This window comes from Homo sapiens, chromosome X, assembly GCF_000001405.40.
Source record: "Homo sapiens chromosome X, GRCh38.p14 Primary Assembly".
Classification (NCBI taxonomy): Eukaryota; Metazoa; Chordata; class Mammalia; order Primates; family Hominidae; genus Homo; species Homo sapiens.
In genome coordinates this window covers 64,547,255-64,573,803 of record NC_000023.11, presented here as the reverse complement: position 1 = coordinate 64,573,803, position 26,549 = coordinate 64,547,255, and the positions used below count along the sequence as shown (strand labels likewise).

The 26,549-nt window shown below is 38.8% G+C and overlaps 2 annotated features.

Annotated features, from left to right (window-relative positions):
- Positions 23,751–24,251: an enhancer, noted in NCBI's record as "H3K4me1 hESC enhancer chrX:63769433-63769933 (GRCh37/hg19 assembly coordinates)". NCBI's record gives its function as "activates a minimal SCP1, AML or CMV promoter by ChIP-STARR-seq in naive H9 embryonic stem cells {active_cell/tissue: H9 hESC(naive)}" and the evidence as "EXISTENCE:reporter gene assay evidence [ECO:0000049][PMID:30033119]".
- Positions 24,252–24,752: an enhancer, noted in NCBI's record as "H3K4me1 hESC enhancer chrX:63768932-63769432 (GRCh37/hg19 assembly coordinates)". NCBI's record gives its function as "activates a minimal SCP1, AML or CMV promoter by ChIP-STARR-seq in naive H9 embryonic stem cells {active_cell/tissue: H9 hESC(naive)}" and the evidence as "EXISTENCE:reporter gene assay evidence [ECO:0000049][PMID:30033119]".

The following is a 26,549-nucleotide window of genomic DNA, read 5'->3' as shown; positions in this document are numbered from 1 at the left end:
ATAAATTCCTCCACACATACACTCTCCCAAGACTAAACCAGGAAGAATTTGAATCTCTGAATAGACCAATAACAGGATCTGAAATTGTGACAATAATCAATAGCTTACCAACCAAAAAGAGTCCGGGACCAGATGGATTCACAGCCGTATTCTACCAGAGGTACAAGGAGGAACTGGTACCATTACTTCTGAAACTATTCCAACCAATAGAAAAAGAAGGAATCTTCCCTAACTCATTTTATGAGGCCAGCATCATCCTGATAACAAAGCCGGGCAGAGACACAACCAAAAAAGAGAATTTTTGACCAATATCCTTGATGAACATTGATGCAAAAATCCTCAATAAAATACAGGCAAACCGAATCCAGCAGCACATCAAAAAGCTTATCTACCATGATCAAGTGGGCTTCATCCCCGGGATACAAGCCTGGTTCAATATACGCAAATCAATAAATGTAATCCAGCATATAAACAGAACCAAAGACAAAAACCACATGATTATCTCAATAGATGCAGAAAAGGCCTTTGGCAAAATTCAACAACCCTTCATGCTAAAAACTCTCAATAAATTAGGTATTGATGGGACGTATTTCAAAATAATAAGAGCTATCTATGACAAACCCACAGCCAATATCATACTGAATGGGCAAAAACTGGAAGCATTCCCTTTGAAAACTGGCACAAGACAGGGATGCCCTCTCTCACCACTCCTATTCAACATAGTGTTGGAAGTTCTGGCCAGGGCAATCAGGCAGGAGAAGGAAATAAAGGGTATTCAATTAGGAAAAGAGGAAGTCAAATTGTCTCTGTTTGCAGACGACATGATTGTATATCTAGCAAACCCCATTGTCTCAGCCCAAAATCTCCTTAAGCTGATAGGCAACTTCAGCAAAGTCTCACGATACAAAATCAATGTACAAAAATCAGAAACATTCTTATACACCAATAACAGACAAACAGAGAGCCAAATCATGAGTGAATTCCCATTCACAATTGCTTCAAAGACAATAAAATACCTAGGAATCCAACTTATAAGGGACGTGAAGGACTCTTTATGGAGAACTACAAACCACTGCTCAATGAAATAAAAGAGGATACAAAGAAATGGAAGAACATTCCATGCTCATGGGTAGGAAGAATCAATATCATGAAAATGGCCATACTGCCCAAGGTAATTTATAGATTCAATGCCATCCCCATCAAGCTGCCAATTGGAAAAAACTACTTTAAAGTTCAGAATTGGAAAAAACTACTTTAAAGTTCATATGGAACCAAAAAAGAGCCCATATCACCAAGTCAATCCTAAGCCAAAAGAACAAAGCTGGAGACATCACGCTACCTGACTTCAAACTATACTACAAGGCTACAGTAACCAAAACAGCATGGTACTGGTACCAAAACAGAGATATAGATCAATGGAACAAAACAGAGCCCTCAGAAATAACGCCGCATATCTACAACTATCTGATCTTTAACAAACCTGAGAAAAACAAGCAATGGGGAAAGGATTCCCTATTTAATAAATGGTGCTGGGAAAACTGGCTAGCCATATGTAGAAAGCTGAAACTGGGATCCCTTCCTTACACCTTATACAAAAATTAATCCAAGATGGATTAAAGACTTAAACGTTAGACCTAAAACCATAAAAACCCTAGAAGAAAACCTAGGCGATACCATTCAGGACATAGGCATGGGCAAGTACTTCATGTCTAAAACACCAAAAGCAATGGCAACAAAAGCCAAAATTGACAAATGGGATCTAATTAAACTAAAGAGCTTCTGCACAGCAAAAGAAACTACCATCAGAGTGAACAGGCAATCTACAAAGTGGGAGAAAATTTTCGCAACCTACTCATCGGACAAAGGGTGGGAATTGAACAATGAGAACACATGGACACAGGAAGGGGAACATCACACTCTGGGGCCTGTTGTGGGGTGGGGGGAGGAGGGAGGTATAGCATTAGGAGATATACCTAATGCTAAGTGACGAGTTAATGGGTGCAGCACATGAGCATGGCACATGTATACATATGTAACTAACCCGCACATTGTGCACATGTACCCTAAAACTTAAAGTATAATAATAATAATAAAATTAAAAAAAACAAAAAACAAATAATGAAACTTAAAAACAATGGACAAGGCTAGAATTAAATAACAGGTACACTATAGGTGTTTTAAAACATATTTTTTCAGTCTTTTTTTTACTACAGATAAATTTTACCAGGAGTAATTTATTTGTAAAATAAATTATAATATTTTATTTGGCCTGATTATTTGTATAAAATGTTTTACAGAAATAGTATTAATAACATTGTTAAGCTATGGGGTGTAGGTCATAGTGTCTGATGTTGCCTTATTAGGTTAGTTTCTAGCTGTTTGTGGCAATAGTGAGCAGTTTTAAGAGATGAATACATAGCTCAAACGGAGGAGTAGGACATGATTGCTGTCTCATTTGAATGTCTCTCTGGGCCCGATAATCTGAAAGGACTTGCATTCCTCAGACAAGAGTTCTTTTCTTTTCTCAGTTCCTTTCAGCAACTAAGGTTAGCACCACACAGAAACAGAGCCTCTTTAATGTAATTACCTCCCTCAGAGCAGCAGAAAGAGCCCAGACATGGGAGTCAAAATACCTGGCAAGTTCTTTCCCCTCCCTGGTGTCAGGAGCCCAGTCGGCCCAGGTTTCTGTGTGAGAGGACCTACTGAAATATCCCACTCTGCTGGCTGCTGGGTGCTTGCACGATAGTAGCCATCATTTACTGAATGCCTACTTTTTGCAAGGTACTCCACATACATTGAACTTTTTGTCCACAAAATAATTGCATGAGATTAGTAGTATTGGCCCCATTTTATAAGTGAGACAATAGTCTCAGAGAGGCAAAAATAACTTGTCTGAGGTTACACATCTAGCTCATAGCACCACAAATATTAAGTCAGATCTGCCTATCTCCATCATAAAAATTCTGTTCCTGTATACCTCAATTCTTGAACCTCACTCTATAGGCATTCTTTGGGATTGGAGTATTTCCTGAGCCCTGCCAACTCTAGCTCCCATATGCAAGATTATATCTTCTTCCTGAAGAGACCTAGTCAGCAAGCTCTTTCCCAACTCCTTCCATGGCTATCCTGTCTTCTGCTTCTTTGGAGAAATTCAGAAGCCTCTGGGAAAGATGCTCAGTCTCTTCACCTCCCTGAGATCCATTCTTCATTGGTTAAATAGATTTAGACATACACATGCTCTGCCCACCACATGGGATCTTGTGAGGATCCTTGACAAAATTTAGGGGAAATTTTTTTCCAAAATTTTGGAAATGGTTGTTTTTCTGGCTCTTCATACTTCCTCTCTCCTCCAGCTGGGAAAATGTAGTGCTCTGTACTTGTCCTCCCTCTGGTGGCCTGGCAGCAGCATAGCTTTAGCTAGTACTATTGAGAGCTGGGTCTTAATTTGTGGTACAGTAAAGGGATCAGTAGAATACAGGAGTTTGTACTCTACATGCACAAAGAGGTCTGCAATCCTTTGAAAGTCAATACTTTCCTTAGCAATTGCTAAATACTGACTGAGGTAATGACAAACAGAGAGCCAAATCATGAGTGAATTCACATTCACATTCACAATTGCTACAAAGGAATAAAATACCTAGGAATCCAACTAGCAATGGATATGAAGAACTTCTTCAAGGAGAATTACAAACCACTGCTCAAGGAAGTAAGAAAGGACACAAGCAAATGGAAAAACAGTCCATGCTCGTGGATAGGAAGAAACAATATCGTGAAAATGGCCATACTGTCCAAAGTAATTTATAGATTCAATGCTATCCTCATCAAGCTACCATTGAATTTTTTCACAAAATTAGAAAAAAAAAACTACTATAAATTTCATATGGAACCAAAAAAGAGCCCACATAGCCAAGGCAATCCTAAGCAAGAAGAAAAAAGCTGGGAGGCATCATGCTATCTGGCTTCAAACTATACTACAAAGCTACAGTAACCAAAACAGCATGGCACTGGTACCAAAACAGATATATAGACCAATGGAACTGAACAGAGGGCTCAGAAATAAGACCACATATCTACAACCATCTGATCTTTGACAAACCTGACAAAAAACAAGCAATGGAGAAAGAATTCCCTATTTAATAAATGGTGCTGGGAAAACTGGCTAGCCATATGCAGAAAACTGAAACTGGATCCCTTCCTTACACTTTATACAAAAATTAACTCAAGATGGATTAAAGATTTAAACATAAGGTCCAAAACCATGAAAACCCTAGAAGAAAACCTAGGCAATACCATTCAGAACATAGGCATGGCAAATACTTCATGGCTAAAACACAAAAAGCAGTGGGAACAAAAGCCAAAATTGACAAATGGGACCTAATTAAACTAAAGAGCTTCTGTACAGCAAAGAAAAAAAAAAAACTATCAGAGTGAACTGGGAGAAAATTTTTGCAATCTATCCATCTGACAAAGGGCTAATATCCAGAATCTACAAAGAACTTAAACAAATTTACAAGAATAAAACATCAAAAAGTGAGTGAAGGATATGAACAGACACTTCTCAAAAGAAGACATTTATGCAGCCAACAAACATATGAAAGAAAGCTCATCATCACTGATCATTAGAGAAATGCAAATCGAAGCCACAATGAGATACCATCTCACACCAGTCAGAATGGCGATTATTAAAAAATCAGGAATCAACAGGTGCTGGAGAGGATGTGGAGAAATAGGAACACTTTTACACTGTTGGTGGGACTGTAAACTAGTTCAATCATTGTGGAAGACAGTGTGGCAATTCCTCAAAGATCTAGAACTAGAAATACCATTTGGCCCAGCAATCCTATTACTGGGTATATACCAAAAAGATTATGAATCATTCTACTATAAAGACACATGCACACATATGTTTACTGTGGCATTGTTCACAATAGCAAAGACTTTGAACCAACCCAAATGCCCATCAATGATAGACTGGATAAAGAAAATGTGGCACTTATACACCATGGAATGCTATGCAGCCATAAAAAAGGATGAGTTTATGTCCTTTGCAGGGACATGGATGAAGCTGGAAACCATCATTCTCAGCAAACTAACACAAGAACAGAAAACCAAGCACTACATGTTCTCACTCATAAGTGAGAGTTGAGCAATGAGAACACATGAACACAGGAAGGGGGACATTACACACCTAGGCCTGTTGGGTTGTGGGGGGCTAGGGGAGGGATAGCATTAGGAGAAATACCTAATTTAGATGATGGGTTGATGGGTGTATACCTATGTAACAAACCTGTACGTTCTGCACATATACCACAGAACTATAATAATAAAAAAAGGGAAAAAGATCACGCTTCTGTAAAAAGCCCTTTGCAATGGCAGTTCCAACTTGGGCAAATAATGATTTCTTATGCAAATCTAATGAAAACAAAAGAGACCATCCCCAAGGACTTCTGAAAAAATCTATTTTTTTTTTTCATATAACCCAGCTGCATTATGCAAAATATGCCTTTGGAACAGAATATTCGGAGACCACTTTTAAGAAATGTGGAGCATCATATTTCAATGGTTTTGCCTTTACAGGGAACACCATGCTCCCAGACCTATTTCTGGGTTAATTGGGCCCTTCAAATAGCTTAAGACTCACTTAGCAGCTGAAATGAAATGGCTTCAGAGGCCACAGAATATTCACTGGCCCGAACCATCATTTTCAGTATATGTGTGTCTCATCTCCTCCCAGCTCTTTCTACTGATCCTCCAATAGTTGCCTAGACAAATGCCTACATGAAATAGGATCCAGTTGCCACTACAGATTCAATTTAAAGCCTTCTGTGATTATCTTCCAACCTGTGCTGGACAATTCAGGAACAACAGGAATATGAATTTGAACCACAAAAATTGTTGGTATCTGACGGCTATTGACCTATACAAATGACACTTTCTTGTGGTTCAGCCTAATATTTGGGAGGTAAAACATCTTGAAAAGGAGCAGCAGATGTTTACACTTTTACCTTGTTGTTGATTTTAACAGACCCTTTATTCATAAAATATTTTATGTGAAAGCCATATCTGAAAAACAGATAAAATAAATGGCTTTTAGCAGAACAAGGTGTCAAGCCTGGAAGCCTGGAGTCCTGTCTGCTTGGCTCCCTATCTCTTCCCAGGAAGTGTCTGAGGCATCCCTAACAAATCCTATGGCTTCCTGGAATACAATTTGCAAATCACTGCATTGGAGAATAATGCAAAACCTTAGTATGTAATTCAGACTCCATATGCAGGTTTTCAAAGAAGAAGGAAGTCACTGAGGACTCAGGTTTTAGGAGGAAACTTCCTGAAGGAAGTGAGATTCGAGCATATTTTGAAGGACGGAGGACAGTTTAGATCACTTGAACAGGTAGGATGTTCCAGGTAGGAGAACAGCATAAGCAAAGGCACAAAGGCAAGAATGAATATGGACAAATATGCCATGGTGAAGGGGTGGCATTGATGGGAAGGATGTATTCTATTGTATTGACTAAGTATGAAGGTAGTGTGGTGGATTTTTTCTTTTCCTTTCTCTCTCTCTCTCTTTCTCTCCTTTTTTTTTTTTTTTTTTTTTTTTTTCTTTTGAGACGGAGTCTTACTCTGTCACCCGGGCTGGAATGCAGTGGTGAAGTGGCAAGATCTCGGTTCACTGCAGCCTTTGCCTTTGGGTTCAAGTGATTCTCCTTCCTTAGCCTCCTGAGTAGCTAAGATTACAGGCGCCTGGCACCAAGCCTAGCTAATTTTTGTATTTTTAGTAGAGACGAGGTTTCACCACATTGGCCAGACTGGTCTCGAACTCCTGAGCTCAAGAGATCTTGATTTATTTTCCTTTCACAAGTGTTTAGCTCAATGCTGGCCACAGAATATTGTCAGCTGTTATTAAGAAAGGAGCTGTTATTAAGAAGGACCTAGTGTATAGGGTACCAGGTCCTTCACCTATGCTTCAACCAAGGGAATTCTGTTTTTTGTTTGTGTGTTTATTTATGTATTAGGTTTCCATGAGAAACCTTGTTTGAAAAAAAGATTCTGCTTTTATGAAAAAATTTGAAAATCAGTGGTATAATAGAAGGAGCACAGGCTTTGTAGTTCAAAAGATGTAGGTTGAAATCCCAAGTTGGTAGCCTTTGTGTCTTTAGGCAACTAACTTCACCTCTTTGAACTCTAGTTTCCAAATCTTGGAAATGGGAATACTAACAGATACTTTACAGGATGGTTGTGAATAATATAAGTAAGGTAGATACTACACAGTAAGAGTGCAATAAATGATAACCTATTGCTTTAATGCTGGAGTCGAATGACACTCCAAGCACTGACCTACAAGTTAGAAGATCTGGCTGATGGTCCCAGTTTTTAGTGTTGATTCCTTCTTTTCTTTATCTTCCACCTGAGAAAGGCTTACCATCAGCTGTATCTTCAAAATATAACCCAAATCTAATCCTTTCTTTTTTTTTATTATACTTTAAGTTTTAGGGTACATGTGCACAACATGTAGGTTTGTTACACATGTATACATGTGCCATGTTGGTGTGCTGCACCCATTAACTCAACATTTAGCATTAGGCATATCTCCTAATGCTATCCCTCCCCACTCCTCCCACCCCACAACAGGCCCCAGAGTGTGATGTTCCCCTTCCTGTGTCCATGTGTTCTCATTGTTCAATTCCCACCTATGAGTGAGAACATGTGGTGTTTGGTTTTTTGTCCTTGCAATAGTTTGCTGAGAATGATGGTTTCCAGCTTCATCCATGTCTCTACAGAGGACATGAACTCATCATTTTTTATGGCTTCATAGTATTCCATGGTGTATATGTGCCACATTTTCTTAATCCAGTCTATCATTGTTGGACATTTGGGTTGGTTCCAAGTCTTTGCTATTGTGAATAGTGCCGCAATAAACATACGTGTGCATGTGTCTTTATAGCAGCATGATTTATAATCCTTTGAGTATATACCCAGTAATGGGATGGCTGGGTCAAATGGTAATTCTAGTTCTAGATCCTTGAGGAATCACCACACTGACTTCCACAATGGTGGAACTAGTTTACAGTCTCACCAACAGCATAAAAGTGTTCCTATTTCTCCACATCCTCTCCAGCACCTGTTGTTTCCTGACTTTTTAATGATCACCATTCTAACTGATGTGAGATGGTATCTCATTGTGGTTTTCATTTGCATTTCTCTGATGGCCAGTGATGGTGAGCATTTTTTCATGCGTCTTTAGGCTGCATAAATGTCTTCTTTTGAGAAGTGTCTGTTCATATCCTTCACCCACTTGTTGATGGGGTTGCTTTTTTTCTTGGAAATTTGTTTGAGTTCATTGTAGATTCTGGATATTAGACCTTTGTCAGATGAGTAGATTGCAAAAATTTTCTCCCATTCTGTAGGTTGCCTGTTCACTCTGATGGTAGTTTCCTTTGCTGTGCAGAAGCTCCTTAGTTTAATTAGATCCCATTTGTCAATTTTGGCTTTTATTGTCATTGCTTTTGGTGTTTTAGTCATGAAGTCCTTGCCCATGCCTATGTCCTGAATGGTATTACCTAGGTTTTCTTCTAGGGTTTTTATGCTTTTAGGTCTAAGATTTAAGTCTTTAATTCATCTTGAATTAATTTTTGTATAAGGTGTAAGGAAGTGATCCAGTTTCAGCTTTCTACATATGGCTAGCCAGTTTTCCCGGCACCATTTATTAAATAGGGAATCCTTTCCCCATTGCTTGTTTTTGTCAGGTTTGTCAAAGATCAGATAGTTGTAGATATGCAGCATTATTTCTGAGGGCTCTATTATGTTCCATTGGTCTATATCTGTGTTTTGGTACCACTACCATGCTGTTTCGGTTACTGTAGCCTTGTAGTATAGTTTGAAGTCAGGTAGTGTGATGCCTCCAGCTTTGTTCTTTTGGCTTAGTATTGACTTGGCAATGAGGGCTCTTTTTTGGTTCCATATGAACTTTACAGTGGTTTTTTCCAATTCTGTGAAGAAGGTCATTGGCAGCTTGATGGGGATGGCATTGAATCTATAAATTACCTTGGGCAGTACGGCCATTTTCATGATATTGATTCTTCCTACCCATGAGCATGGAATGTTCTTCCATTTGTTTCTATCCTCTTTTATTTCCTTGAGCAGTGGTTTGCAGTTCTCCTTGAAGAGGTCCTTTACATCCCTTATAAGTTGCATTCCTAGGTATTTTATTCTCTTTGAAGCAATGGTGAATGGAAGTTCACTCATGATTTGGCTCTCTGTTTGTCTGTTATTGTCGTATAAGAATGCTTGGGATTTTTGTGCATTGATTTTGTATCCTGAGACTTTGCTGAAGTTGCTTATCAGCTTAAGGAGATTTTGGGCTGAGATGATTAGGAAAAGAGGAAATCTAATCCTTTCTAATCACCTCTACTAACTCCACCCTGGTCCAAGCCACTATAATCTTTCATCTGGACACTTGCAGTAGCCTCCTTATTTGTTTACTTGTTTCCCTTCTTGTCCCCTTAAAGTCCATTCTGCACCAGCAGCCAAGTTTTTTTTGTTTTGTTTTGTTTTTTTAAATAAGGTAGGTCACAATCCTTTCCTACTCAAAATCTTCAAGTGGCTTCTCATTATACTTGGAACAAAATCAAACTTTTTACTAAAGTCTAAAAAGGCCCTACAGGATCTAGCCCTTCCTTGCCTTTTCAGCTTTATCTTCTGCTCCCAGCCACTTTCCCTCAGCCTCACTAACTTTCTTGTTGTTCTTCAAACACCAAACTTATTTAAGGACCCAAAACATTTTCTCTAGAGATTTTCTAAAATAGCTACTACCACTTTTCCCTTGCATCACTCTATATTATATCCTGATAATTCATCGTAAGTATCACCAACTAACATATTTATTTGAAATGCAGTCAGGGACCTTGTTTATTTTGTTCAGCTGATGTAAAACCCCAATGCCTAGTACAGTGCTTGACACATAAAAGAAACCTCAGCACCTGAATCTGTCTTGACCCCTTGGATGTGGATCCTTGAGACTCACTTTCTTCAGGCTTTTCCAACACTGGTTTCCACATAGTTCTTGGCTCTACTTGTTTCCTTGATTAAGTACTCTCCATTGTCTCAGTGAGAAATTATTCTAGCCCCAAGATCTGCACAGTCTCAGTCTCCCTGACGATGAAGGTCAGTATAGGTCTACCTGGTGATGAAGGTCAGTGTAAGTCTACCTGGTGTATAACCTATGAAATAAGTTTACCTCCCAATATACCTCCTCCTTACTTCTAAGAAGGCATTGTGGGCCAGGCGCGGTGGCTCATGCCTGTAATCCCAGCACTTTGGGAGGCCGAGGCAGGTAGATCACGAGGTCAGGAGATCGAGACCATCCTGGCTAATATGGTGAAACCTCGTCTCTACTAAAAATACAAAAATTAGCCAGACGTAGTGGCGGGTGCCTGTAGTCCCAGCTACTAGGGAGACTGAGGCAGGAAAATGGCGTGAACCTGGGAGGCGGAGCTTGCAGTGAGCCGAGATCGCGCCACTGCACTCCAGCCTGGGGGACAGAGCGAGACTCCTTCTCAAAAAAAAAAAAAGGCATTGTGTGACTGGAATGTGAGGGCCTTTTGGATGACAGCTGCTGTTTGCTAAATCATTAGAAGCATCTCATTTTTTTCTTAGGCCTCTACAGTAGCCATACTCATATGCACTTGGTCAAACTGTCTATTCATTTCCCCATACCCTCAAAACTTTATATTATTAATATTTTAACTTTTTAACAAACTGCTGGTATAAAATGGTTTCTCATAATTATTTTAATTTGCATTTCCTTGATTATACTAATGAGGTTCCATAATCATGTATAATTTTATCAGGTTGTAGGCCACATTATAATTCTTTTTCTGTGAATTGTCTAGGTTGGGATTTCAACATACTTTTCTGTGAATTGTCCTTTGCCTGTTTTTCTCTTGAGTCATTTGTCTCTTTTTATGATTTGTAGAGGCCGGTGATTTATTTTGGATGCAAATATTTTGTCTATTATTTATATCGCAAATATTTTCTCCTAGCCTGTGATTTGTCTTTTACGTTATTTATAATTATTTTCTGCACAAAAATTTTATGTGGAATGTGGTCAAATTTACCAATATTTTTCTTAACTTTTTTGTGTCCTCTTTAAAAGGGCATTCCATACTCTAAACCCATGAGCATATGTGCCTATACATTTTTCAAATACTTTTTTTATAATTTTGGTTTTGGTGGCTAAACTTTTAATATAACTGGGATGTATTTTATGAAAAGTGTATGATAGAGAACAAAGAGTTAATTTTTCCCCCAATTAATGCCCAGTTGTCCACAGATATTTATTAAATTGTTTGTTTTCAATTTATTTGATATGTCACCTTTATGATGTACTAAATTTTCATATATACATTAGTCTGTTTCTGGATTCTTTATTCTTATTCTTGGTCCATTTATATATTTGTCTGCACTTTTCTTATCAATACCACACTGTTTTCATCACTATGGCCTTATTATCTATCTTGATATCTTACAGAGAGAGTACTTTATCTTTGTCCTTTATAAAAATTATTCTGGCTATTCTTGCATATTTAATATACCATATATATTTTAGACTAAGTCTGTCAAATTTCATTTTAGAAATCTTGTTAGGATTTGCACTGAATTTATAAATTAATTTGGGGGGATTAACATTTTTATGATTTTGTATATTATAAATAAGAGTAATATGCCTCACCATGTTTTTGTTCTTCTTTAAAGTCTTTCAATAAATTTTTATCCTTTTTTCCATGAAGGTCATGTCCATCTTTGGTTAAATTTACTTCTAGATACTTGATAAATTTTATTGCCATTTTAATGGTAATTTTTTAAAAATATTACATTTTCAGGCTGTTTATTGCTGGTATATAGAAATGCAGTGGATTTTTATATATTGATCATATACCCAACACCACTGCTCAATTTTTTATTATAATTTTTACATAGATTATTTGAAGTTTTTTATTTGAGTTTAATGGTAGACAAATATATTTTTTATGAAAAATGAGTTTTATTTATTCTTTTCCAATTAATAGTACTTTTTCTCTCTCTCTCTCTCGTGTGTGTGTGTGTGTGTGTGTGTGTGTGTGTGTGTGTGTGTGTCTTACTGTACCAGCTAAAACCTTTTGAACAGCATTGAGTAGTAGTGGTGGTAGTAGAAGGTATTTACTAGTAATGGGCCTCCTTGTCTTCTTCCTGACTTTGAAAGAAATACTTCTAATGTTTCACTTTTAAGTGTGATGTCTGCTGTACACTTTTTGTAGAAACTTTTTATCAGACTAAGGTAGCTCTGGACCAGTTACAGTTGCTCACATCTGTAATCCCAACACTTTGGGAAGCCGAGGTTAGTGGATTGCTTGAGTCCAGGAAATCAAGGCCAGCCTGGGAAGCATAGTGAGACCCCATTTCTAAATAAAAAAAAAAAAATTAGCCAAGTATGGTGACACATGCCAGTGGTCTTAGCTACTTGAGAGGGTGAGGTGGGAGGATCACTTGAGCCTGGGATATTCAGGCTGCAGTGAGCCATGATTGCAACATCGTACTCTAGTCTGGGTGTCAATGCAAGATCCTGCCTCAAAAAATAAATAAAAAATAAAATAAATTTAAAAAAGAAAGGTAGCTCTCATCTGTGGTGGAGATTGCTAATTGTCTATTCAATATCCAGTCTCCCCTTCTCTCTGACTAAAAGAACTCTGATTTTGTTAGGGGTAGAAATGTTCGCAGACTTTAAGGAGTCAACACTTCCCTACCTCCTTGCAGATAAGGATGGTCATGCAACACAGTACTGGACAATAAATGTAACCAAAAGTTATTTGGTGGCACTTTGTGGCAAGCTCTTAAAATATGGGTGTGTCTTAGTCCATTCGTTTTCCTAATAAAGGAATGCCTGAGGCTGGATAATTTAAAAAGAGAAGAGGTTAATTTGGCTTACATTTCTGCAGGCTGTATAAGAAGCAAGGTGCCAGCGTTTGGGAGGGCCTTAGGCTGCTTCCATTCATGAAGGAAGGGGAAAGGGAGATGGTGCGTGCAGAGATAATATGATGAGAAAGGAGGCAAGACAGAGTGTAGGAGGTGTCAGGCTCTTTTTAACAATCAGCTAGGGAGTGGGTAATACAGGGAGAAATCACTCATTACTACCAGGATCACACTAATCCATTCATGAGGAATCTGCCACAATGACCAGATACCTCCCACCACGCCCCACTTTGAATACTGGGGATCAAATTTTAACAAGAGGCAAAAAAACATATCTAAACCATAGCAGCTTGTGTGTATGTTTTCAGAAATATGAAAGAAGCTCAGATAACACATATAATTTTCCCTTTGTAATTGATCCTTCTTCCTCACTGAAATGTGTAAGTAATGACTGGAGTGTCAGCAGCCATACTGTGCTCCACCATGAGAGAAAAGCCAAAAGAATCGGAAACCTTATTCTGACATCCTTGGAGCCACTGTTCCTGCCCTGGACTGCCCATCTCTGTACTTCTTGTTATGATGAGAGAGAAAAAAATGACCCTATCTTATTTAATCCATTGTTATTTGGATTTATGGTTGTTGTTGATACATTTGGACAGCTTTATTAAGGTATAATTGATATCTAGTAAAGTGCACATGTATAAAGTGTACCATTAGATAACTTCAGATATATGCATAAAGCCACAAAACCAACATCACAATCAAGAACATGAACAAATCCACCACTCCCAAACATTTTTTCATGTCCCTTTGCAATCCCTCCCACCCATTCCCAGGAAATCATTGACATATTTTCTATCAGCATAAATTAGTTTGAATTATCTAGAGATTCATATAATGGAACCATAAAGTATATATTCTTATTTATCTGGATTTTTCACTCAACATAATTATGTTGTTAATCATGCAGCTGTTTAGTGTCAATGGTTCATTTCTTTATATTGCTAAGTAATATTCAAGTTTATGGATATACCAAGATGTGTTTATTTATTAAGTCATTAAGGGACATTTAGGTCATTTCCAGTTTTTTGTTATTAAAAATAAAGCTTCTGGCCGGGCACAGTGGTTCATGCCTGTAATCCCAGCACTTTGGGAGGCTGAGGCAGGCGGATAACCTGAGGTCAGGAGTTCAAGACCAGCCTGGCCAACATGGTGAAACCCCGTCTCTACTAAAAATACAAAAATTAGCCAGTCATGGTAGTGGGCGCCTGTAATCCCAGCTACTGGGGAGGCTGAGGCAGGAAAATTGCTTGAACCCAGGAGGTGGAGGCTGCAGTGAGCTGAGATCATGCCACTGCACTCCAGCCTAGGTGATAGAGCGAGACTCCATCTCAAAAATAAATAAATAAATAAATAAATAAATAAATAAATAAATAAAGCTTCTATGAACATTCATGTACAAGTTTTGTGTGGATGTATGTTTTCCCTTCTCTTGGGTAAATACCTAGAATTTGAAAGGACAGATCATGTGGTATGTATATGTTTAACTTTTTTAGAAAATGCCAACTGTTTTCTTTTCCTCAGTGAAATCCATGAATATTGTGAGAAAACTCTTCAGAGGGATATGAAGGAAATACCTTAAAGAATAGGGATTAACTACTTAATATTTTCTGATTTAAAACTGCTTGCTAGGCTGGGCTTGGTGGCTCACGCCTGTAATTCCAGCACTTTTGGAGGCCAAGGTGGACAAAACGCTTGAGTTCAGGAGAGACCGCCCCAGGCAACGTGGCAAAACTTTGTCCCTACAAAAAATACCAAAAAGAAAAAAGAAAAAAAGCCAGGTGTTGTGGTGTGTGACTACAGTCCCATCTACTCTGGAGGCTGAGGTAGGAGGATCACTTGAGCCTGGAAGGTTGAGGCTGTAGTGACCTGAGATCGCACCACTGCACTCCAGCCTGGGTGATAGAGTAAGACCCTGTCTGAAAACAAACAAACAAACAAACAAACCGATAGCCTAAAATTTATACTTTCATATTTTATGGTAGGTAAATTATTCAAAATTCATTAAAATATTGAGTGTTTAAGTGTCACTGAAGAAATAGTGTTATGATGGTCACATTTTGGCTACCTGTGTTCATAATGTTTTATTATTTGAGCTTATTTTGCTACTGATTTGTACCTTGTGTTCAGTTATTTTGGAAGATATTTTGTCAGCATTCTCTAGAATGAATTCTGAGGAGAAATTGACTTACAAGTTTGTCACAAATGTCATCTAAAATATATGATTATCTCTGCACCAGTTGTATCTTATTAGTTGATCTTATCACTGGAAACTGAAAACTTCGATGAACAAAATTAATATTGAAATAAGAAATTGTTTTATATTGTGTCAAGTATAAAATGGTAGCACTAACTCAGATTAGGCAAAAACACCTATTATATGGTGTAGATTATTTTAGCCTTGGAGGCCTGGTGGTACAGTTAAGAAAGTAATCACTATACATATTTAAACATCTTAAAATGGCCTTTTCTCTAATGCATATTCTTTTTGAAGACTTTACTAAACTTACATTTAAAAGGGAAAACCAAAAACAGGAAAGTTTTTAAAATGTGTTATCTGCCCTATGCTGTATAAACGCAGCATGCTGGTTATGAAGACCCATCAAGGTTCCACTTATGAGAAGGAGACATTTGTAAGCGGAGCAAGGGGCCCCACAGATTGGCTTGCTACGTATACACTCCTTTGTGCATTCAGTCTGTTATCACAGAGGGATCCCATGATTGGGATCCCTCCAGTATGGGTCAGTGCACCTAAGACAGGCCACTTAACTCCATTGAAATACCTCACCCCAATTTCAGGGTCCTCTCTCCTGAGCCTAGATATGCCAGGGTCCTGTTGCAATGTAAATGGCTTCAAAGTGATCTCTATGGATAAATGCTGATATTGGATATAGAACCGAACAATTTGCTCAACTTGTTCATTTTTTTCTATTTTATTTTTGTAATTTATATTGCACACAGCATTGGAAGTCACCATTTTGGACATGTATTTTTATAAACCAGGTAATTTATTATCATCATGGAATTTGGACTAGGTTTGTTTCATTTGTTAGCTGTTTTTAGACAAAAAGGAAATGACTGCCTCCTCTCTGTTCAAGTATGAATCTCAAGTACAGATTCCGGATAACAGGCAGGGTTCTATTAGAATAGGAACACACTCTGGAATCACTGGTTGCACACATTGAATCAGCCTTGAGCCTAGAGATGAAAACAGAGCTCTGCTCTTATCTTTGACACATGAAACTCAGAGCCCCAGTGCTGAAAAGAACTGGGGCCCTCTGCAGGGCTCCTTGATGATACCCAAGGTTCATATTTGAAACACTGAATGGGATACTGATTTAATAAGGATTTAATGCTGTGTAAGTCATGATAATAATGTGTGAGTGTATCTGGTTGATTTTTAATGTAACTCCTCTGGTATTCCATACTGTTAGTAAATACAGGTGTGACCTTTAAGGTTGCATATCTCAAAAGTAATATTGCCTAATGTTTTACAATAAAATACATTATGTGTGTTTTGATTGATGAAAATAGACTACATTTTAAAAGGGAAAAATAAAAAGAAACTGCCAAGCTGTTTTCCAATGTGGTTTTATCATTTTTCATTCAGGCCACCAATTCCTCCACATCTCTGCCAACGGTGGTATCCCCTTGTGGTTTTATTTATTTAATTTTGTTTTTTGAGACAGGATCTCACTCTGTCACCAGACTGAAGTGCAGTGGTGCAATCACGACCCACTGCAGCTTCAACCTCCTGGTCTCAAGTACTCCTCTTCACCTCCCAAAGTGTTGGAATTACAGGTGGGAACCACCACATCCAGCCTACATTGTGGTTTAAATTTGCACTTCTCTAATTACTAATAATGATAAACATCTTTTTATGTGCTTATTTGCCACCCATGTTAGCCTCTTTGGTAACATGTCTGTGCAAATAATTTGTCCATTTTGTTATTGGGTTATTTTCATAGCATTAAGACTTGAAAATTCCTTATATGTATAATTTGGATACAGATTGTTTATCAAAATCTGCTATGCAAATATTTTCTCAACATCTTTGGCTTGTCTTTTCATTCTCCCAGAAATACATTTTGAAAACAGAATATTTTAATTTTAATGAAGTCCAATTTATCTTTTTTTTAATGGATCCTGCTTTTGGTGACATATCTAAGACTTGCCTAAACCATCTCAGGCTGTCATAACAAGGTAACACAGATTGGATAGCTTAAAAAACATTTATTTTCTCAATCTGGAGGCTGGAAGTCCAAGATCAAGGTGCCAACCGTTTGGCACCTGGTGAATTTTCTATTCCTGGTTTGAAAATGACCACTTTCTCACTGTGTTTTCCACATGGACTTTCCTTTGTGAGTGGAAAGAGAGATAGATCCCTGGTGTCTGGTGTCTCTTACTCTTCTTATAAGGACGTCAGTACTACCGTATTGGATTAGGGCCACATGTTTATGTCCTCATTTAATCATAATTGGCCCTTCTCCAAATACAGTCAGATTGGGGGTTAGGACTTCTACATATGAAGTTTGGTGAGGACACATTCAGTCCATGACATCAAGAAACAAAGATTTTCTCCTAGAAAACTTAGGGTTGGGGATTTTACAGCTAGGTCTATGAGCCATTTTGAGTTAATTATTGCATATAGTGCAAGGTATGGATCAAAGTTTCTTTTTTTGCATATGTATCCATATGTAGTAAGTATTAAGCCAACCAAGCATTCCTTTGTTTTTCTTTTGAAAATTTTTATTTTAGGTTCAGGGGGTACATGTGCAGGTTGGTTACACTGGTAGATTGCGTGTCAGTGGGGTTTGCTGTACAAATGATTTTATCACCCAATTAGTAAGTATGGTACTCAATAGATAGTTTTTCAACTCTCACCCTCCTCCCATTCTCCCCACCTCAGCCTCTAGCTCCATCCGTGCTGCTGCAAAGGACATGGTTTCTTTTTTTTTTTATGGCTTTGTAGTATTCCATGGTGTATATATATCACATTTTCTCCTCCTCCTCCTCCTTCTTCTTTTTCTTCTTTCTTCTTCTTTTTTAAGACAGTGTCTCACTCTGTCACCCAAGATGAAGTGCAGTGGCGCAATCTCAGCTCACAGCAAGCTCAGCCTCCCGAGTAGCTGAGATCGCAAGCAAGTGCCACCATGTCCAGCTGATTTTTTATTTTTATTTTTGTATTTTTAATAGAGACAGCGTTTCGCCATGTTGCCAAGGTTGGTTTCAAACTCTTGAGCTCAAGTGATTCGCCCTCCTCAGCCTCCCAAAGTCCTGGGATTACAGGTGTGAACCACCACGCCTGTCTTTGTGCCATATTTTCTTTAACCAGTCCACAACCGATGGACATCTAGTTGGATTTTTGTCTTTGATATTGTGCATAGGACTGTGATAAACATATCCATGTGTGTGTCTTTTTGGTAGAAGTATTTATATTCCTTTGGGTATATATCCAGTTATGGCATTGCTGGGTTGAATGGTAGCTCTGTCTTAAGTTGTTTGAGAAATCTCCAAACTGCTTCCCACAGTGGCTGAAATAATTTACATTCCCACCAGCAGTGTATAAGTGTTCCCTTTTCTTCACAGCCTCATCATTTGTTATTTTTTGAGACAGAGTCTCACTCTGTCACCCAGGTTGGGGTGCAGTGGTGCAATCTCGGCTCACTGCAACCTCCACCTCCTGGGTTCAAGTGATTTTCATGCCTCAGCCCCCAGAGTAGCCGAAAATATAAGGCGTGCACCACCACACCTGACTCATTTTTTTGTATTGTTAATAGAGACAGGGTTTCACCATGTTGGCCAGGCTGGTCTTGAACTCCTGACCTCAAATGATCCGCCTGCCTTGGCCTCCCAATGTGCTGGGATTACAGGCATGAGGCACCGCACCCAGCCTATCTTTTAACTTTTTAAATAGCCATTCTTACTGGCATGAGATAGTATCTCATTGTGGTTTTGATTTGCAAGTCTCTAATGATTAATGATGTTGAGCATTTTTCCATATGCTTGTTGGATGTGTTTATGTCTTCTTTTCAGAAGTATTTGTTCAACCCAGCATTCTTACTTGACCATAATATATTTTTTATATTGTTGAATTTGATTTAATGAAATTTAGTTTAGAATATCGGCATCTATGCTTATGAGGGATATTTGTAGTTTTCATTTCTTGTACTGTGTCTGTTTGTTTTGGTATTAGAGTAATGCTTGTCTCATAGAATGAGTTGTGAAATATTCTCTCCCCTTCAATTTTCAGGAAGAGTTGCTATAGAATAGGTATTCATTCTTTTTCCTTTTTTTTTTATTTCTCGAGACAGAGTCTCACTCTGTCACCCAGGCCGGGGTGCAGTGGTGCCATCACAGCTCACAGTGGTCTCAAACTCCTGACTCAAGGAATCCTCCCACCACAGCCTCCCAAGTAGCTGGGATGGGTGTGCACTGCCACACCCAGCAATTTTTTTAAAAGAAACTTTTCAGCAGAGACAAAGTTTCATGATTCTTCCCAGGCTGGTCTCAAACTCATGAGCTCAAGTAATCATCCCACTTCAGCCTCCCAAAGTGCTGAGATTACAGGCCTGTGACATCATGTCCAATGGTATTATTTCTTAAATTTTTGGATGAATTAGCCAGTAAAATTATATGGACTTAGTGCTTTATTTGTGGGAAGGTTATGAACTGAAAGTTCATTTTTTTTTAAGAGGCAGAGTCTCACTATGTTGCCCAAGCTGGTCTTGAATTCCTGAGCTCAAGTGATTCTCCCACCTTGGCCTCTCAAATTATGGGGATGATAGACATGAGCTACTGTGCTTGATTGAAAGTTCAATTTTTAAAAGAGATTTAGGCTATACAAGTTATCTGTCTCTTATTAAGTGAGCTTCAGTAGTTTGCCTTTCAAGTAATTTGTTAATTTTTTATAACTTGTCAAATTTATCAACATAAAGTTGTACATAATGTTCCCTTTTTAACTTTTTATCATCTATAAAATGTGTATTGATGTCACCTCTCCCATTCTCAATACCACCAATTTGCGTCTTCTCTCTTTTTTGCCGATTAGTCTTGTAAGAAATTTATCAATGTTATTGCTCTTTTCAAAGAACTAACTTTGATTTAATTGACTTATAAAATCATTTTTCTGTTCTCTACTTTATTGACTTCCAGTCTAACCTTCCTTATTTCCTTTCATTTGCTTATTCTAAGTTTAATTTGCTTTTTTGCTCATTTCTTTTTTTTTACTTTAAGTCTCGGGATACCTGTGCAGAACATGCAGGTTTGTTACACAGGTATATTTGTGCCTTGGTGGTTTGCTGCACCTATCAACCCAACATCTATGTGTTAAGCCCTGTGTGCATTAGCTATTTGTCCTAATGCTCTCCCTCCTGTTGCCCCCACCAACAGGCCCTGGTGTGTGTTTTTCCCCTCCCTGTGTCCACGTGTTCTCATTGTTCAACACCCACTTGTGAGTGAGAATATGTGGTGTTTGGTTTTCTGTTCCTGTGATAGTTTGTTGAGGATGATGGCTTCCAACTTTATTCATGTCCCTGAAAAGGACATGATCTCATTCCTTTTCATGGCTGCATGGTATTCCATGGTGTATATGTACCACATTTTCTCTATTCAGTCGATCATTGATGGGCATTTGGGTTGGTTTCATTTCTTTGCTATTGTAGATAGTGCTGTAATAAACATATGTGTGCATGTGTCTATATAGTAGAATGGTTTATATTTCTTTGAGTATATACCCAGTAATGGGATGGCTGGGTCAAATGGCATTTTCGGTTCTAGATCCTTGAGGAATCACCACACTGTCTTCCACAATGGTTGAACTAATTTACATTCCCACCAACAGTGTAAAAGCATTCTTATTTCTCCACATCCTTGCCAGCATCTGTTTTTTCTTGACTTTTTAATAATCACCATTCTGACTGTCATGAGATTTTATCTCATTGTGGTTTTGATTTGCATTTCTCTAATGAACAGTGATGTTAAGCTTTTTTCATGTGTTTTTTGGCCACATGAATGTCTTCCTTTGAGAAGTGTCTCTTCATATCCTTTGCCCACTTTTTGATGGAGTTGTTTGTGATTTTCTTGTAAATTTGTTTAAGTTCCTTGTAGAGTCTGGATACTAGACCTTTGTCAGATGGGTAGATTGAAAAATTTTCCTCTAGTCTGTGGTTTGCCTGTTCACTCTGATGATAGTTTCTTTTGCTGTGCAGAAGCTGTTTAGTTTAATTAGATCCCATTTGTCAATTCTGGCTTTTGTTGCAATTGCTTTTGATGTTTCCATAATAAAATCTTTGCCCATGCCTATGTCCTGAATGGTAATGCCTAGGTTTTCTTCTAGGGTTTTTTATGGTTTTGGACTTTACATTTATTTAAGTCTTTAATCCATCTTAAGTTAATTTTTGTATAGGGTGTAAAGAAGGAGTCCAGTTTTAGTTTTCTGCAAATAGCTCACCAGTTTTCCCAGCACCACTTATTAAATAGGGAATTATTTCCCCATTGCTTGTTTCTGTCAGGTTTATTGAAGATCAGATGATGGCTGTAAATGTGTAATGCCTAGCTTTTTTTTTAGCTTTATTTATTTATATTTTTTTTGTAGAGACGGGTTCTTGCTGTGCTAAGCAGGCTGGTCTTTAATTCTTGGCCTCAAGTGATCCTCCTGCCTTGGTGCCAAAAAGTGATGGGATTACTGTAGTGAGACACTGCACACAACCTATTTCAGCTTTTTTGAGGAACTGCCAGACTATTTTCCATTTGGGTTGGGAACCAACCCAAATGTCCAACAATGATAGACTGGATTAAGAAAATGTGGCACATATACACCATGGAATACTATGCAGCCATAAAAAAGGATGAGTTCATGTCCTTTGTAGGGACATGGGTGAAGCTGGAAACGATCATTCTCAGCAAACTATCGCAAGGACAAAAAACCAAACACCGCATGTTCTCACTCATAGGTGGGAATTGAACAATGAGAACACATGGACCCAGGAAGGCAAACATCACACACCGGGGCCTGTTGTGGGGTGGGGGGAGGTGGGAGGGATAGCATTAGGAGATATACCTAATGTTAAATGACGAGTTAATGGGTGCAGCACACCAACATGGCACATGTATACATATGTAACAAACCTGCATGTTGTGCACATGTACCCTAAAACTTAAAAGTACAAAAATAAATAAATAAATAAATAAATAAATAAATAAATAAATTTCCACTATCAACGTGAGTGTCTCAATTTCTCTACATCTTCACCAATACTTGTTATCCTCTGACATTTTTCTTACAGTCATCCTCACGGGCGAACAGTGGTATTTTCTCATGATTTTGATTTGCATTTTCTTATTGACTAATGAGGTTGAGCATCCATTCATATGTTTATTGGTTATTTTATATCTTCTTTGTTAAAATATCTATTCAGACCTTTTTCTCATTTTTAAATTGGGTTATTTGTCTTTTCATTAAGTTTAAGTGTTCTCTTTTTTCTTTTCTTTTCTTTTTCTTTTCCTTTTTAGGGACAAGGTCTCACTCTTTTGTTCAGATTGGAGTGCAGTGGCACAATCGTAGCTCACTGCAACCTCAAACTACTGGGCTCAAGTGACCCTTCCATCTCAGGCTTTCACATAGATAGAACTATAGGCACAAACCACCACATCTGGCTAGTTTTTTAAAAGCTTTTGTAGAGATGGGGTCGTGCTATGTTACCCTGGCTTGTCTCGAACTCAAGGGCACAAGAAATCCACCTGCCTCGGCCTCCCAAAGTACTGAGATTACAAACATGAACCACTGCTCAGTGTATAAGGGTTATTTATACTTTTTTGCAGTTTTCGATGTACAAGTCTTCTTACATACTCTTTTGATAAACAGAATTTGGGGATTTTGCTACTCTGTTATTTTATGATCATTTATGTGTGTGTGACTTGTTGAAAACTCACTTTTTACCTAAAAGTCATAAAGACATTTTCCTATATTATCTTCTAAAATGTTACAGTTTTCTTTCATATTTGACTCCTTAATCCAACTGAAATAAAATTGTATGTGATGTGAATTAGGATTACAATTATCTTTTCCCCAAATTGATAATCAATTTCTCAGTACCATTTACTGACTCTTTTCCTCAAGATCCTTATGCAAGCTATGTAATTAATAAGCTTTCATTATGTGCATTGGTCATTTTATGGGGCCTTTGTACTGTTGCACTAGTGTATTTCTGTATCCCTACACTAAAATCACACTGTCTTAATTTCTATAGAATTATGGTAAATGTTGACATTTGGTATGGCAAAAACCCTAACTTTTTGTCTTCTTTGGAAATATCTTGGCTGTACTTGGTAGTTTTCTTTTTCATAAAAATTTTAGAATCAGCTTGCCAAATGTCATAAATATGCTGTTGAAATTCTATTGAAATTGCACTGAATGCATACATTAATATTGGAAGCCATGGCATCTCTATGAAATAGTTTTTTTCTTTCCATGAGGATGTTACATGTCTCCCTACATTTAGCTCTTCTTTAATGTCTGTCTTTTTTTTTTTTTTTTTTTTTTGAGACAGGGTCTTGCTCTGTTGCCCAAGCTGAAGTGCACTGGCATAATCATGACTCACCGCAGCCTCAACCTCCCAGGCTCAAGTAATCCTCCCACCTCAACCTTCTGAGTAGCTGAGATGGCAGGAACATGCCACAATGCCTGGCTAATTTTAAATTATTTTGTAGAGGTGAGATATTGCTATCTTGCCCAGGCTGGTCTCGAACTCCTGTCCTCAAGTGATCCTCCTGCCTTGTCCTCCCAAAATACTGGGATTATAGGCATGAGCCACTGTGCACAGCCTTTAATGTCTTTCAATAAAATTTTTCTCATGCCTGGATCAGGCAGCCAAGATGGCCGAATAGGAACAGCTCCAGTCTACAGCTCCCAGTGGGAGAGATGCAGAAGACAGGTGATTTCTGCATTTCCATCTGAGGTACCGGGTTCATCTCACTAGGGAGTGCCAGAGAGTGGGTGCAGGACAGTAGGTGCAGCGCACCATGCACGAGCCGAAGCAGGGTGAGGCATTGCCTCACTCGGGAAGTGCAAGGGGTCAGGGAGTTCCCTTTCCTAGTCAAAGAAAGGGGTGACAGATGGCACCTGCAAAATCCATCACTCCCACCCTAATACTGCACTTTTTCAATGGGCTTAAAAAGTGGAACACCAGGAGATTAAATCCCCCACCTGCCTTGGAGGGTCCTATGCCCACGGAGTCTCGCTGATTGCTAGCACAGCAGTCTGAGATCAAACTGCAAGGCGGCAATGAGGCTGGGGGAGGGGCGCCCACTATAGCCCATGCTTGCTTTGGTAAACAAAGCAGCCAGGAAGCTCGAACTGGGTGGAGCCCACCACAGCTCAAGGAGGCCACCCTGCCTCCTTAGGCTCCACCTCTGGGGGCAGGGCACAGACAAACAAAAAGACAGCAATAAACTCTGCAGACTTAAATGTCCCTCTCTGACAGCTTTGAAGAGAGCAGTGGTTCTCCCAGCATGCAGCTGGAGATCTGAGAACAAGCAGACGCCCTACACAAGTGGGTCCCTGACCCCTGACCCCCGAATAGCCTAACTGGGAGGAACCCCCAAGTAGGGGCAGACTGACACCTCACACGGGCGGGTACTCCTCTGAGACAAAAATTCCAGAGGAACGATCAGACAGCAGCATTCGCGGTTTACGAATATCCCTTGTTCTGCAGCCAGTGCTGCTGATAACCAGGCAAACAGGGTCTGAGTGGACCTCTAGCAAACTCCAACAGACCTGCAGCTGAGGGTCCTGTCTGTTAGAAGGAAAACTAACAAACAGAAAGGACATCCACACCAAGAACCCATCTGTATGTCACCATCATCAAAGACAAAAAGTAGATAAAACCACAAAGATGTGGAAAAAACCAGAGCAGAAAAACTGGAAACTCTAAAAAGCAGAGTGCCTCTCCTCCTCCAAAGGAATGCAGTTCCTCACCAGCAACGGAACAAAGCTGGATGGAGAATGACTTTGACGAGTTGAGAGAAGAAGGTTTCAGAGGACCAAACTACTCCGAGCTACAGGAGGAAATTCAAACCAAAGGAAAAGAAGTTGAAAACTTTGAAAAAAATTTAGACAAATGTATAACTAGAATAACCAATACAGAGAAGTGCTTAAAGGAGCTGATGGAGCTGAAAGCCAAGGCTCAAGAACTACGTGAAGAATGCAGAAGCCTCAGGAGCCGATGTGATCAACTGGAAGAAAAGGTATCAGTGATGGAAGATGAAATGAATGAAACGAAACGAGAAGGGAAGTTTAGAGAAAAAAGAGTAAAAAGAAATGAACAAAGCCTCCAAGAAATATGGGACTCTGTGAAAAGACCAAATCTATGTCTGGTTGGTGTACCTGAAAGTGAAGGGGAGAATGGAAGCAAGTTGGAAAACACTCTGCAGGATATTATCCAGGAGAACTTCCCCAATCTAGCAAGGCAGGCAAACATTCAGATTCAGGAAATACAGAGAATGCCACAAAGATACTCCTCAAGAAGAGTAACTCCAGGACATATAATTGTGAGATTCACCACAGTTGAAATGAAGGAAAAAATGTTAAGGGCAGTCAGAGAGAAAAGTCGGGTTACGCACAAAGGGAAGCCCATCAGACTAACAGTGGATCTCTCAGCAGAGACTCTACAAGCCAGAAAAGAAATTTCAACCCAGAATTTCATATCCAGCCAAACTAAGCTTCATAAGTGAAGGAGAAATAAAATCCTTTACAGACAAGTAAATGCTGAGAGATTTTGTCACCACCAGGCCCACCCTAAAAGAGCTCCCGAAGGAAGCACTAAACATGGAAAGGAACAAACAGTACCAGCCGCTGCAAAATCATGCCAAATTGTAAAGACCATCAAGTCTAGGAAGAAACTGCATCAACTAACGAACAAAATAACCAGCTAACATCATAATGACAGGATCAAATTCACACATAACAATATTAACTTTAAATGTAAATGGACTAAATGCTCCAATTAAAAGACACAGACTGGCAAATTGGATAAAGAGTCAAGACCCATAAATGTGCTGTATTCAGGAAACCCATCTCATGTGCAGAGACACACATAGGCTCAAAATAAAAGGATGGAGGAAGATCTACCAAGCACATGGAAAACAAAAAAAGGCAGGGGTTGCAATCCTAATCTCTGATAAAACAGACTTTAAACCAACAAAGATCAAAAGAGACAAAGAAGGCCATTACATAATGGTAAAGGGATCAATTCAACAAGAAGAGCGAACTATCCTAAATATATATCCACCCAATACAGGAGCACCCAGATTCATAAAGCAAGTCCTGAGTGACCTACAAAGAGACTTAGACTCCCACACAATAAAAATGGGAGACTTTAACACCCCACTATCAACACTGGACAGATCAACGAGACAGAAAGTAAACAAGGATATCCAGGAATTGCACTCAGGTCTGCACCTAGCGGACCTAATAGACATGTACAGAACTCTCCACCCCAAAACAACAGAATATACATTATTTTCAGCACCACACCACACCTATTCCA